Raw genomic sequence first — 14,724 nt, forward strand, 5'->3', positions numbered from 1 at the left:
AGGTACAGCCACCAAGGCTTCGAGGTGCTAATATTCTAGTGAGGAAGACAGGGTAAATGACAGATGTAACAGATAAGTAAAGGATGCAACATGTTGCGAGGTGAAAGCTGCGAAAAATAAACAGAGCAAGTGAGGAGTACCGGAGTACAGAAGTTGATGTTGCCAGTTACAAAGGGGCTGGTCCCCCCAGAACCCAGACTCTGGACTCTAAATTCCTTTGCCCAGCAAAAGGACCCCCAGGACTCCTGAAAGCAATGGATGATTGCAGGGCTGAGGCAGGGAAAATGCAATATGAGCCTTTCTTGTAGTCTCAGAAAGTAAGGAAGTGTTCAGGGTCTGAGTGGGGGAAGTTGTGAGGACACAGAAGCCAGCTGGAGGGGTCTCCCACCGGCCAAATCTGGGACAACTTGAACATCAGAAAAGAATCATGACTACAAAACTGCAGTGATCCATGTGTTCCTATTGATTCTGAAAAGAAAAAAATAAAATCTGGCTGGTTCCTTTGGGGGTGGTTAAGATACCACATCATTTTTCTATGAACAGATACATGAAGGTAAAGAATGAAGCACGTTTCCTGTGTTTCCTGTATACGCAGTGTTTTAGGAGGCCCTAATAAGGGAAAGGCATCCTTCAGAGAAGAACCACAGCAGATAAGTGCTGAAGAAATGACGGAATTGGAAAACCACCTTTTTGCAATCCTAGTGAAATAAAGGATCCAGCACTGACTCTGTGACAGAGGGATGAGGCAGACGGTCCTCGGACTCCCGAGGCAGACGGTCCTCGGACTCCCGGACAGGTCTCAGCATCGCCCAGAGTGGAACTACGTGGCATTACGTGCGCCAGATGGGATGTGGAAGGAAGCCCACAGCATTCCCTGAGATGGATTCTTTCCTGCAAAATTGGACCTGAATCAAATCCAGCTTTAGCCCCAAATATCAGTGGGGAGAAAGTACAATGGGGCAGAAGAATGAATTAAATGATACCACGAGAACATTCCACAGGAAGAATGGCCTGGGTTCTCCAACAAATAATGAGAGTGGGGGAAAAAAAAAAGGAGGGAAAAGGGACTGTTACAGATTAAAAGAGACACAAGAGACTGATCAACCAAATGTGGCAAGGGACCTTACTTGAATCCTGATTTGAATAAACCGATCATGAAAAGACATTTTGGAGACAACCAGGGAAAATTGCACGCAGACTGGGTACAAGATGATATGAAGAAATTATGGTTAATTCTGCTGGGTTGCTGCTGCTGTTGTAATTAGAGTTGAGAAAAAGTCTTTATCTGTGGAGATACAGATGAAACAAAAAAAAAAGTTCTGTGGTTTGCCCTTAAAATGCCTCAAGGGTATTTCTGTGTTATATGTGCCATTTGGAAGTAAATGAAAATTTAAAATTTAAAATAAAAATTAAAAGAGGGAGTCATAAAAGGCCTCACTAAAAAGGTGACATTTAGAGAAAGGGTTAAAAGAGGGAGGGTGCCTTGGTGGGCGGGGGCTGGGGGAAGAGTGTGCTCCTGAGGGAGGAGGAGCAGCGTGGGCCTGGAGGGTCCGAGGAAGGTCAAGCAATGCAGGGTCTCCTGAGGATCTGGCTTTTCCTCTGAGGATGTGGGAGCTTTGCCTGGGGCTTTAACACCATCCCTCTGGCTGCTAGAGGGAGAAGGCAGGGAGGAGGGGTGTAGGGGAAGGGCACAGAACTCGGGGCTCCACAGTCATCAAGCCTCACCTTATCATAAGGTGATGTCACCTGGCAGCTAGAATTACAGGGGAGCTTAAAAGAACTAGTGCTGAATCAGAAACTTGGGGGGTGGCATCCAGGCAGTGGCCACTTTTTAAGCTTCCCCAGTGATTCTACTGAACACTGGAGTGGAGAGTCACTGTCACCTTGCTGCCCTAAAATGAAGACGGGAACACTGCCATTCGGAGAAAGAAAGCGGCTGTTTCTGCTTCACATGGCGACCGAGTGGCAGAGGAAGGATTTCCAATAAACCCCTCCACCCTTACCCATCTTCTGCCCTCCACCCTCACCAGACCTGCTCTGAGGCTCAGGAAGCAGAGGAAGCAGCCCCAAGGGAGGCTAAAACCCTGCCAGGGGAAGCAGCTCATCCATCTGATGGCTCCCAGACAATCCCGAGCCAAGAAAGAAAATGCCACCAAGCGTTTTCAGTATGGGCTAGGGCGGCTGGCTGACAGGTGCACCCACAGAGCCACCTGCCAAGAAACAGGTGGCATGTCTGTTAATATTCCTGGCACTGCCTTTAAAGAGCAATAATTAGGAGCAAAAGCCTGGGCAGGCACCATTCACAAGTACGCAGATTAAATCGTGGGCCGCGTGGGTGGAGGTGTCGGAAATGCCACTACGGTCCTCGTGTGCCACGGGGCAGCAGCTCCACCGGGGCTCCTCCTCAAGCCAGGCCACGGCAGTGCCGGCCACCTCCTCCACTCTGACCCCAGGCTCCCTCCCCACACCTGCCATGTCTCAGGGAGGGGACGGCCTGCCGAGGGGGTTCAGAGTCAAACAGTGCTGGATTCAAATCCCATGCTGCTTAGCCATCCCTAAAGTCAGTAAGTATAGTATCACACAGGCACCCGGTGGTGTGACATTTCATGAAAATGACACAAGTCTGGGGCCTGCAAGGGCTCCGTGCGTGGGACCTGACTTAAAATTATGTACCAGGCATTTCTCTTGCTGAGCTTCAGTTTCCTCATCTGAAAAATGGGGAAAGGGGAGAAAGATGAATCACGTTAATGATCACTCTGTGACAAAGGCAGACACTGTTCCCAGCCCTGGATGCACATTAACCTTCTTCAACACCCCACCACAGGGGGCCTGATTATGCTCATGAATAGGGAGATCAGGCAGGAGGCCAAGGTCATGCAGCCTGAAGCCGAGTGGGAATCTGAATCAGGTGCTGGCCAGGCCTACCCTGGGACCCACCCTGCTATTCTAAACACAGACGCGCCTCTTGCTCAGCTCCGTGCGAGCATGTGGGTGGTGTGATTCAATAGAGCAAACACAGCACCCCGAGCACAAGGGGCACGGCACAGCCCACAGCCGGGCACCCGAGCTCCAGTGACCCTGGGTCTCTGTGCCAGGGGGTCTGCCCAGCATTTCTGGGGGTTGAGAGGGCTTTTCCAGGTCAGAAGTGGGAGATGGGATCAGGCTCCCGCTCTTCCCTGGGCACCAGCCAGTGAGACCCTCATCTGGGAAACGAGGCAAGAATTAAGGGAAAGGGGCGAAGGCTGGGTCTACCCTTGGGGAGACAGTGTTACATGAGGGGTTCTTGTCCCCTCTGGCAGGTGGGTTAATTGAGAAGGGAAAAAACAAGCTCAAGGTCACAGAGTCCATTGAAAGCAGAGTCAGGGCTTGAACTCAAGTGCTGGGCTCCCAGACGGGGCTGCTGTTCCCACTTAGCAGATGTGCCTGTTGGGCCAGTGGCTGGAGTGGAGCTGGACCCCCACGCTAATAGGGCTTCTCAGGCCCTCACAAACACAGGAAAAGGCCTCCAGCCTCCACATGGCAACAAGAACCAACCCGCACAGCTGGGCAGGACCCTGCCTCCTCTCTCCCTACCTCCCCAACAAATCCCACACCCCAAGTCCCGAAGGCCCGGAGAGGTGGGAGAGCAGGGTTGTGCCACAGGATGAGAAGGGGCTGTGTAAAATTTACCCACTCCGGGCCTTGGCATCCTCAGTGTAAGTGGCCAGCAGCACAGCACTGCCTTGGGAACGGGAAAGTGGGTGTGACAGACCCTTGCAGGGAGCTATGTCCCAGCATCGCCCTTCACGCGGGCAGTCTGCAGGTCTGTACCTCCCACCTGGCCCATAGAAAACTGGAAGCCCACACAGAGGGGCGCTGGAGCTTGTCCCGGCCACCTCGTCACCAGCACAGCCCCCATCCTGCCATGCATCTCACCCCCACAACTGCCAAGCTCAAGCACAGAGAAAGGAGCGTGCCCTAGGTGACACAGTTCACTCATAGCTTGCTAGTGGCAGGGCCATCTCTGGGTGCTGCTTCCTGTGGGTCACAGCACAGAGGCTTCTAGCCTCAGATGAAGAAAGGGAGGAGCGCATCCCAGAGGTGCCCTGAGGCTCTCAGACAGCCCAGCCTTGCTGCAGCATGGCCAATAACTGTGTGATCTTTCTCCAGGTCAGCAGGGTCAATGATCTGGACAAAGTCCTGTGACTCTGGCCATTCAAACGAGCCACCGTAGTGTGGGAATCGGAGTCCAGCAGGAAACTAGGTGACAGACCATGAGAGCCACAGGGCTCTTAGACAAGATCACAGAGCCACATGACCACAGGGGACTGGATGATAGCCCACAAGGCCACAGAGCTCCCAGGGATGGGAACACAGAGTCACACACCACAGGACTGGGCGACAGCCCACAAGGGCACACAAAATTGAAACCCTGGAGCCACAGAATGTTAGCTTCAGGAAGCCCCAGATGGTAGCTCAAGAACTGCAGGCATTACGCTCATGGATCCATACCCACCACGCTGTGGTCTGGCCACAGGCCATTAGAACCGCAGCAGAGAATGCCAGAACTACAGACAGAAGCCACAGCAGCGAGTGGAGCCAAACCACAGGTTATCAGAGTCAGGGTGGGGACAGAGCAAGGCGATCAACATCATTGGACCTCAGACCATTCAGTGTTCAAAGGGACAGTGTAAGCCATCCGTGTTGCTCACCAAGCAAGCCGTGACCTCCTAAAAGCTCCTTTTCACAGCCCCTGACCCCTCCAATCTTGCCCTTAGCTCCAGAGAGCTCCAATCTTGCCCTTAACCCTGGAAAACTCCCCTTTCCATGGCTTCCAGTGAGAGATGCAGTCACATGGCCACTGTGTGACCTGGGATGATTCTCTGCCTACTCTGGGCCTCAGTTTCCCCACTGTAAAATTAAGAAGTTGGCCCTCTCTGAGGTCCTTTCTGATTATTGGAGGTGGGGTCCAATAATCAAAGGTAGGGTCAACCTCACCTCCAATAATCTGTGAAATGATCACATCACTTCTCTCCCTCTCTACAATCTTCTGTGGCTCCCAAAGGACTCACTTGAATGAATGAATGAATGAATGAATGAATGAACGTCAACTGCCCAGCCTTGAGGCATCTTTTTGCCCTTTGCCCTCAGTCCTGCTGCTTGAGGCCAGCTGGAGCATTCAATGATTCCCCTCGATTTCCCTTTCAGTTTGGGGCAGATTCTTATGCAACTCACTCAGCAGTGAGGGCAAGGCTAGGACTCATACCCAGGACTCTTGGTTCCAAACACCCTTCCAATCTGTTCCTGAGCACTGGAAAAAATACCTACAAGAAGGGAGCAGGCCCCTAAGACGAATCTTGGCTACAAGTCATTCTAAGCCCCCTGCCTCTGCAGCATGGGATCCCGCTCAGTGAGGCCAACCATCCCTCATGCCCTCCCTGGGGACCCTGCATGCCTCTGGGCTGCAGTGTCACATGGCATCCCAGGAGTCATGGCATCCCAGGAGACATGGCATCCCAGGAAACATGGCATCCCAGGAGTCAGGAGAGACAGCACGAGGTTCAGGATGATGCCACCACTCCAGGGACAAGGAAAACCAGGGGTGATAACAAGGTCACAACACACACTGGGGACTCTTCTAGTCCTCAAACAAGGATTTTCATGAGGCCCTGGCAGTGGGAGCATTGAGAGAACCTGTAATGATGATGACAGCGGTATAATCCAGTAGCATTTATTCCCAGGCCCAAAGCATTCAATAGTGCCCGTCATTCATTCACTTGCTCATGTGCTGGGCAGCTCTTATGCTCCAGCAGTGAATAAGGCTTCCAGCACTTACGTTCTACGCAGAGAGACAAACAAAGACATGATAAATATGTAACACACCACAGGTTGAAATAAGTGCTTTGAAGAAAAATGAAGTGGTGTGAGATGGTTATGAGGTAGGGGGAGGTCTCTGTGATCAAGTCTTCACACAAATGAAGGGAATAGGGGACCCAACCATGCCCAACCATGCAGATTGCTGAGCCAGGCAAAGAACACGGCCCATGCAAAGGCCCTGGTTTGAGGCCCAGCAAGGAGGCCAGGGCTGAAGCTGAGTGATGGACGGAGTAGCAGAAAGGATGTCAGTGGGGTCCCAGGGGCAGACCACCAAGGGCCAGGTTGGCTGCAGTGAGGACTTTGGTCTTCCTCAGAGGGAGGTGGGAGCCATGGGAGGGTGTTGAAGAGAGGAGGGAGTGATCTGACCTAGGTTTTAACAGTATCCCTGTGGCTGCAGGGGAGGGACAGACTGAGGAGGGAGTGAGGGTGGAGGTGGGAAGACCAGTGAAGAGGCCACTGCAACCATGCAACTAATAGACACCGGGACGTGGACCAGGTCCGTAAGAGGCAGCCAGTCGTGGACATGTTTTAAAGAAAAGTAGTGACTCATTATAGACACACACAGCCCTGTGAGGCCAGGAGAAGTATGTTCACTTTACAGAGGAGGAACCTGAGGCTCAGAGAGGTTAAGTCACCTGCCCAGTGTCACACAGCAAGGGAGTGTCAGAGCTGGGATTAAAACCCAGGCCATCTGGTTCCGAGGCCTGTGCTCTCTCATTCTGTCATGAGCGTCTCCTTGGGACTCATACCTGACTCACGTGGCACAGGTCTGGGGTCTGAGATTGGAAGTGGACCATCCCCACCCCCAACACTAGTGCCAGGATCAGCTACAGAGCAAAACTGGGAAGGGGTCCAGAAGTATACCTGTGTGGCAGGGAGACAGAGATGGGATGGGGCCCCTGCATAGGTTGGGACAGGTGAGAGCGAGGGAGGAAGTAGCTAGGGATGTATTCCAGCTTTCTGGACCTAGATGTGGAGTGTGAGGTCAGCACACCATGAGCACTCAGCAAACCACCCCCATGGGCAGGCCGTGCAGTCAGACAACCGAGGCTCCAACCTCGGCTCTGCCCTTCACCAGCTGTGTGGCCTCCAGAGCATCACTTACCCTCTCCATGTCTCGGCTTCCTGACCTGCTCACTGGGGCTGTTGTGGGGGTAATGCAGGGAAAATGCTGGGGAAAATGCTGGCCAGGCAGCTAGCAGAGTAATCAATCCAGCTGACAGGCAGAAGCTGGGCCATCAGGATTACGGGGAGGGGTTGCAGTGCCAGCCTTCCCCACTCTGCCCAGACGCCCCCGCCTTATGGGGCTTTGCCTCCCACCCACTTTCCATCTTCTGCAGTGGACTCGGGGCCTCCTTCCTGTCCCTGATTCAGAAGTGACAGCCAAGACTGAGTTGTGCCTGCTAGCCTGGAATTACAACTTCTGGGGAAGAAAATGATTAACATGGTTGCAGAAGGCTGGATTCTTAGAATCGGGCTGTGTCAGAGAAAGCTTCTGGTCCAAACTACACCCCACCCATTTTACAGTTGGGGAAACTGAGGCCAGGAGAGAGGGCACATTTTCTAAGCCACTGGATCCTTAGGGCCTGGTGCCTAGTCCCCTGCCTTGGGGGAGTCCCAGGGAGGCCTAGGGGATACAGTCAGGGCAATGGGCTTGGCCAATCAGGATTGCCAGAGCCCTGCTGGGCCACGCATTAAAGTTCTGGTTGCCGGATCGTGGGAGATCCAGGGGTCCTGGGGGAGAGACCTGGAGACATTGGGTGAGGAGACCTTGGGGAACCAGTTGTTTCCCAGCCAGTGTGGGGGTGCTGCAGTATTTTAACACCAGCCACACACATGCCAGCGCCGCTTCCTCCACCACCCCCCTCTTGCTGCAACTGGTGCAGCTCCTTCCAGCCTCAGCCTCTGCGCTACACCCTTTATATGCGTTTTCCTCCAGAGCCTCACAAGCACCCTGTGAGGATGCATTTTTAACTTCAAGGACCACCACTTGCCAAGGGGAAGTGACCTGCCGTGGTCCCACAGCTAGTTTGTGGCAGAGGCAGAAGTCGAGCCAGGCCCTGTTCTAAGCACTTTATGTATATGAACTCATTTAACTCTCACAAAAACCTTTGCACGAGGACTATAATTATCCCAATTTTACAGTGGAGGAAACTGAGGCTCGGAGAGGTGACATGGCTTGCTCAAGGTCACCTACTTGGCTAGTGGCAGATCTGGGATTTGAACCCAGGCTGTCTGGCCCCAGAGCCCAAGCAAAGGGAGAGGGGTTTGTAGCAATGGGGTGAAGGTGAGAGGAAGGATGCGGGAAACATGCCCCAGAGGAGGAAGGACTTTTGAGAACAGGGGTGTCTAACGTTCACTTGTGTGTGTGATGAAATCCCCTTTGTCATCTCCTTCCTGCCAGCATCACAGAGCTATTCCTCTTTGGTCTTCAGAGCATGTGTGTCCCAGCCTGACCCCAGATCAGCATCTTGCCGATAGAGACAGCCCACCTGGGATGGCGTCATGACCCTTACACTGAAGCAGCAGCAGGAAGTCAGAGCCAGGGGGCCAGGAGGGGAGCTGCCCTGGGCACAGTGGAGGGTGTCTGGGCCAGCTGGGGCCAGGACCAGGGGTGCTGAGGCTCAGTCAGATTAAAAACAGAGCTATGCAAAGTGCGGCTGCAGGTCCCGTCCTGTCTTTGAACTATTTGTTGCTGGACAGTGATTTTTACGTTTGGAAACAAACATTTGAGAACCAATGGTTAAAAACTATTACAGCAATTTCACACATTGCCACAATATCTAAGTGCCTGATCAGTGGCTTCTATTTTTCAGGTCTTTGTTTTTTAATTTCATTTTTCAATAACTCATTGTTAGTGTATTTTTCTCAAATGTATCAGTCTCCAGTGGATTGAAAGTAAAAAGAAAATACTGGCCTTCCCCAGATAGCCCAAGAGGCACTGCTTTTACCGGAGCTACCCAGTGGTGAGAAGCTGGCGCTCGACCTGATGTGCAATTCAACCTAAAATAAAGCTGTAAGGTAAAAGTTCTGCTTTTGAAATGAAGGAAACTTTTATGTGAGCTGAAACAGATGTAACTTTTTTTAGGTCAGGGTTTCTCAACCTCAGGCAGTATTGACATTTTGGACCAGACAATTCTTTGTGGTGGCGGGGAGCTGTCCTGTGCACTGCAGGGTGTTGGCAGCATCCCTGTCCCCTACCACTGGATACCAGTGGCACATACCCTCTCCCCACTTGTGACAACCCAAAATGTCTCCAGAGATTGCCAAATGTCCCCTGGGGAAAAAAAATCACCCCCTGTTGAGAACGGCTGGTTTGGACGTTCTGCTTTCCTGTGTGTGTGAGAGAACGTGTCTAGGAGAGTGTCTGTACGTGCAGGTGTGTGTCTGTGTGTGCCTGGGCATGTGTGTGCTTTACTCCAGGCCCACCTTCCTCACTCACATTGCCTGGCCTCGTAGGCATCTGTGTTTGCAACCCTGGTGTCACCCATTAGTCTCAAGTAGCGCCCGTCAGATCTCCCCTCCCTCCAGGCATGGCTGTCACTGAGGCACAGTCTATGAAGGTCGCAGTGGAAACCAGGGGACCCTCAGAGCCACTGTCTGCACCGGATGAAGCTGCCCTCCAATGCTTCCCACCCCCGCGCACCTCAGATCCCTACCCACACCGCACCTCCCAAGACACCGGGGCACAGACAAGATCTCAGCAGTTGGACAGAAACCAATGCTCCCGACAGAGAAGGGCCTCAGGCCTGAAGAATGACAGCCTGAGGTTAAGTAAAGTGGTCATCGAGAACCAGGGATAAAGAAGAAGCTGAACCGTCACCTGGCAGGGGAGCTGGAGGAACAGAGGCTCACTGTAGGGAACATGAGGGAGTACAGCTTGTTCAATCTGCACACATCTGTGCCCCAACCCTCATTCGGGGGACTCTGACTCAGAATAACCTGGGCAGGGTCCCAGGATCTGTATTTTTAAAGCTCACCAGGTGGTGTTGATACACAGCAAGAGTTGAGAATCCCCTGGGAAGCTTGATAGAAATATAAATTCATGGCAAAACAAAAGTAAGGAGTCTGACAGTACCAAGCATTGCTGAGGTTGTGGAGCAACTGGAACTCTCAGACGCTGCTGGTGGTGATGTAAAGTGGTACAGCGACTTTGGAAAGCTGTTTGATAGTATCCATTAAAATTTCAAGATACGTATATTCTAAAATATATCTCAATAAAGCTGTTAAAAATATGCATATCCTGTGGGCTGCTGATTCCACTTGAGGGTATATACTCAACAGAAATGTGTGCATTTCGGTACCGGAGGCATGTTTAGGCACCGGAGTATTCACAGCAGCGTTTTCCATAAAAGTCAAAAATTGAAACAAACTGAAAGTCCAACCATGGTAGAAGAGATCAATAAAAATGGCGGCATATTCACGCAATGGAACTTTTTTTTTTTTTCTAAAACGCTCCCAGGTCATTTACTGGCCACATGAGGTGGTCGTCAAGACACAAGCTAGGCCGGGCGTGGTGGCTCACGCCTGTAATCCCAGCACTTTGGGAGGCCGAATGGGCGGATCACGAGGTCAGGAGATCGAGACCATCCCGGCTAAAACGGTGAAACCCCGTCTCTACTAAAAATACAAAAAATTAGCCGGGCGTGGTGGCGGGCGCCTGTAGTCCCAGCTACTTGGGAGGCTGAGGCAGGAGAATGGCGTGAACCCGGGAGGCGGAGCTTGCAGTGAGCCGAGATCCCGCCACTGCACTCCAGCCTGGGTGACAGAGCGAGACTCCGTCTCAAAAAAAAAAAAAAAAAAAAAGACACAAGCTAGAAGATTATCACAGGAAGTAGTATAATAAATGCCCAGCAGTACAAGGGGTTCAACAGAAGTGAACAAGGCACAAGAGTTCTGTCTTCAGGAAACAGGCCAGTTCCCACATGGAGCAGGTGACTCCTGGTAAGCCTGTGAGGCTCAGGGTTGTCGTGTCTGGCTCTGGCCTGCTGGAGCGCATGGTCCCTGGAGCCCGCAGCCAGCTCGGTGGAGCTGAGCATCCAGTTCGTACTTCTCGCAGAAATTATCAGTGAAGGGGATGCAGGTGAGGAACTCACACCACTCACGGCAGACAGGATAGAAGTAGAAGAGGACCACCAGGCCAGCCAGGAGGCCCAGGAAGACCACCTGAAAGATGATGATCAGGCAGCATTTCCAGTACAGATGGAACTTGCTGAAGCTGATGTAGCGCTAGAAGGCGAAGGAGAGAAAGAGGCCACTGATGAACCCCGAAATGTGGGCAAAGTTGTCGATCCAGGGCAGCAGCCCAAAGGTGCAGAGGAAGAGCACCACAGCCAGCAGCTTGAAGAAGGCATGCCAGGGCCGCTCCAGGATCTGCCAGCTCTGGAAGAGCTCCATGAAGAGGCAGGCCAGGATGCCAAACTGGGAGCCAGCTGGAACCACCTCTGCTCGGTACAGCAGGAAGATGGCACTGGCCAGGTTGCCAGTGACACCACTCAGCAGGTAGATGATGGCTATGTGGTGCCACCCTGCCAGCTTCTCCAGGTCCCGCGGGATGGTCATCTGGAAGCAGATGGACACCAGGTAGTGCAGGATCCTGGTGTGCAGGAAGAGGGACAGCCACAGGCGGTAGAACTGGTCAGGCACCTCAGGGTTGAGGAAAGGCAGGAGCCCACACACATCATCCATGCAGTGCACCTGAGAGCAGAGCATGGCCTCCTCATGGAAATAGCCCCTCATGAAGTCACAGTACTCCCGGGAGGTGATCTCACACTCGCCGTTGGTGCCAATGCAGCAGGGCCGTCCTGTGATGACACAGTCCATGTGGGGAAGGTTGGTGTGGTTCCCGGGGTTGTTTCTGGTGCAGATCGGCCACTTGGTAATGTCTTCTGGCCACTCACGGGGGTCCTCCCAAGAGGGCTCATCATATACCCTGGGATCCTGGTGGCAGACAGAGCCAAACTGTCTCTTGTGGCCGGCAAGCTCTGGGGCGCTGGAATGGATGGGTCACTTCACCCACATTGCCAGCATGGGCGAGCACTCCTCCTCCGAGGTCTGCAGGCAGCCCGACCTGTCGTTGTGCATGCAGCAGGCCGAGTGCTTCTCGTGCTCGCGCCCTGCGCGAATGAAGCTGTGCACCTGCGGATCCTGGCATATGCAAGGCGAAAACTTGGCACCCAGGTGGATGAGGGCCTCCGAGCTGGGCCCGATCCAGAAGTTCTCCTGCTGCACGTACTTGACGTTCTCGTAGACCCAGTGGTTCCACAGAATCGAGTCCATCGTTTCATGCTGTGAGAAGTCCACGGGCACGATGCCATAGATGCACACGGCTAGAATGGTGACGAGCAAGTGCACGAAGGTGAGCCAGTGGGTGAAGAAGGGCCTGTGGCTGTCCATGTCCTCGATCTGTCGCTTGACGAAGCTGTCGATGTGCTTGTGGTAGGTGTGGTTGTTGAGCCGTCCCACCATGCTCAGCCCATACAGCCGCTTCTCCCGGGCGAAGAGTTTGCGCACCGGCACAGCGATGCGCTGGTTCCGCCGCGGCCCCGCGGTGCTCACCATCTCCTGTCGGAGCCGCACCTTGGGCTGCGAGGCTGCGGTGTCTTCCCGCTTCCGCCAGCCTCGCTCCAAAGGCAGCATCAGGTGGCTGGGCTCAAGCTCACTGCGGTCCAGGGCCCTGCCAGTGAGGTACTCCTGCTCCGGTGCCTTCTCCCAGTCCTTGAGTGCTGCCTCTGATGGGGACTCAAAAACTTCGTCCGGGTATGTGGACAGCTCTTCATGGAGGATACCTTCCTGGGCAAAGAAGGATGTGTCCATCTCATCAGGGAAATTCGTGTTTTCCGCCAGAAAGCTGGCTGGAGTGAAGCTTCGACGCTGTGCCCAGCGCAAGGTGCCATCCCTAATCGAGCAGCCTTTCATCAGTGCTGCGGCTGCATGGAAGCTCATCTTGGCCACCAACTCTCGCTTCCCACAATGGAAGTTTACATAACAATGAAAAAGAATGTGCAACATACAACAAAACGGATGAATATCAAAAACATCATGCTGAATGAAAAGGGCTGGACAGTGAAGCATATACGCTGTATTATTCCATTGATAGGAAATTCAAGCACAGGTGAAAACAAACTTCCCTGTGCAGCGATACACATAAGGTGATAACACCATAAAGAACAGCCAGGGAATGATTTTCAAAAAAGGTCAGGAGGGTGGGTACCTCTAGGGGAGCAGGAGTGGGATGTGATTGGAGATGAGCCCATGTGGCAGGGTGGGGGGATCTTCTAAGGGGATGGCAATGCTCTGTTTCTCAACCAGAGTGGTTATAAGTGTGTTTACTTTTCATTACTCTCTACGCGGCACCTCTATGTTAAACTCACACATATATTTTATAATTTTAACTAAAAGAGGAGAAAAAAGATGCATCTGTGCCACTGTCCGCAATGCTGATTCCTTATGTTTGGGCTCAGGCCTGGGATGAGCATTCTGAATATGCCCGCACCACCCCCAGGTGATTCCAGTTCACAAGGTTCTGGGGCCACACTGGGGTCTAAGACGTCTGCTGAGCACACGTGGGGTGAGGAATCCAGAAGCCAGCCTCAAATGGGTGGATCCCACCTCTCCACCCATTGCTGGTTTTGAGTGGTGTGTGGTAACTGAGGTGGGGGCCCAGCAAGCCCCCAGCATAGCAGCCGGTCCACAGGCCACCCTCTGTTGATGCCAGTCTTCTACAGAACTGTCCTGTGGGATATTCGCTTTAATAGGCACATGCTGGGCTTATAGAGGGACTCTGGACAGGAGGGTGGGAGCTCGTCACTAGTCACTGGAATCCCACAGCCGAGGCTGGCAGCCTAGAGAACCCACCCTGAAGGTCAGGCCCTTTAACAAAAGGGTGGAGAGGAAGCAACCTGAGGGGCTGTCGTAAGGGAGGCAGCTGGCATCTTCTGGGGCATCTGCTGAGGCCCGCCCTGTCTCCCCAGAGCTTGAGGGGCGGGCTGGCAGGCAGGCAGGAGAAAAGGGAAGCTTCAGGCCCATCCTCTGTGTGAGAAGTCACAGAAGATGGCAGCTGCATGGAGGCTGTGCCCCCTTATCAGCCAGGACAGGCTTGGGTAGGTGAGTCTGGACGCCACCCCATCACCACCTAAGGTGATGATTTATTAATCACCTGCTAAGTGCAGGCAGCCATGGCCAGTGCTGGAAATGGGAGGACCCACCCCTGTGGGGCTCAGGACTGTTGTGTTATAAAAGGCAGTGAGTGGATCAGGGGCGTGGTGAGAGGGTGTAGCAGGCAGCAGCTCCAGGAGTCTGGGGGCAAGGTCTGGAGATCCGTGGGAATTAGCCACACCAGGAACCCCAGGCAGATAGAAGAGCCTGGGCAGGACATGGGGTGGGCTGACAGTGAGCACAGGCTGAGCCTTCCACGCAATTGGCGTGGCTCTCAAAGCTTTCCTGCATTCACTCTGTCCATCCTCAGGACGGCACTGAGATGCGGGTGCTGTGAGTCCCATTCTACAGATGGAGAACTGGGCCACAGAGAGGTTAAGTAACCAGCACAAGGTCACACAGCTCATCAGCAGCTGAGGCTGGATTGGAACCCACTTCACTACACGGCCTCGCATTTGGCTTGTTTTTCCCCAAGAATTGAAAGGCCAGTGAGCAAGGAGGGCGGGGAGAGGCGAGGGTGAGAGAGGCCTGGTGCTGGGCCACGCTGGGCCAGAGGGCCATGGAAGACTTTGAACTTGATCCTCACAGCAGTGGGGAGCCACTGGACCATAGAGAGCAAGTAATGATATCAGATACGCATTTTACAGGTGCTCTCCTGCCACGTACAGCCTGACCGTCGGGCAACACCGGCCAGTCAACAAACATGGCCTC

General features: G+C 53.2%; 1 protein-coding gene and 1 pseudogene across 2 annotated transcripts in view, besides 2 other annotated features; both read right to left on the reverse strand.

The window, feature by feature from the left end:
* The window catches only part of GRIP2 (glutamate receptor interacting protein 2), a 113,911-nt gene that overhangs the window by 72,864 nt on the left and 26,323 nt on the right, over nucleotides 1-14,724 (reverse strand). The window lies entirely within an intron of this gene.
* Nucleotides 1,851-2,418: an enhancer, noted in NCBI's record as "H3K4me1 hESC enhancer chr3:14605328-14605895 (GRCh37/hg19 assembly coordinates)". NCBI's record gives its function as "activates a minimal SCP1, AML or CMV promoter by ChIP-STARR-seq in naive H9 embryonic stem cells {active_cell/tissue: H9 hESC(naive)}" and the evidence as "EXISTENCE:reporter gene assay evidence [ECO:0000049][PMID:30033119]".
* Nucleotides 10,684-12,822, reverse strand: RHBDF1P1 (RHBDF1 pseudogene 1; annotated as a pseudogene).
* Nucleotides 11,918-12,419: an enhancer, noted in NCBI's record as "H3K4me1 hESC enhancer chr3:14615395-14615896 (GRCh37/hg19 assembly coordinates)". NCBI's record gives its function as "activates a minimal SCP1, AML or CMV promoter by ChIP-STARR-seq in naive H9 embryonic stem cells {active_cell/tissue: H9 hESC(naive)}" and the evidence as "EXISTENCE:reporter gene assay evidence [ECO:0000049][PMID:30033119]".

This window comes from Homo sapiens, chromosome 3, assembly GCF_000001405.40.
Source record: "Homo sapiens chromosome 3, GRCh38.p14 Primary Assembly".
NCBI classification, from domain to species: Eukaryota; Metazoa; Chordata; class Mammalia; order Primates; family Hominidae; genus Homo; species Homo sapiens.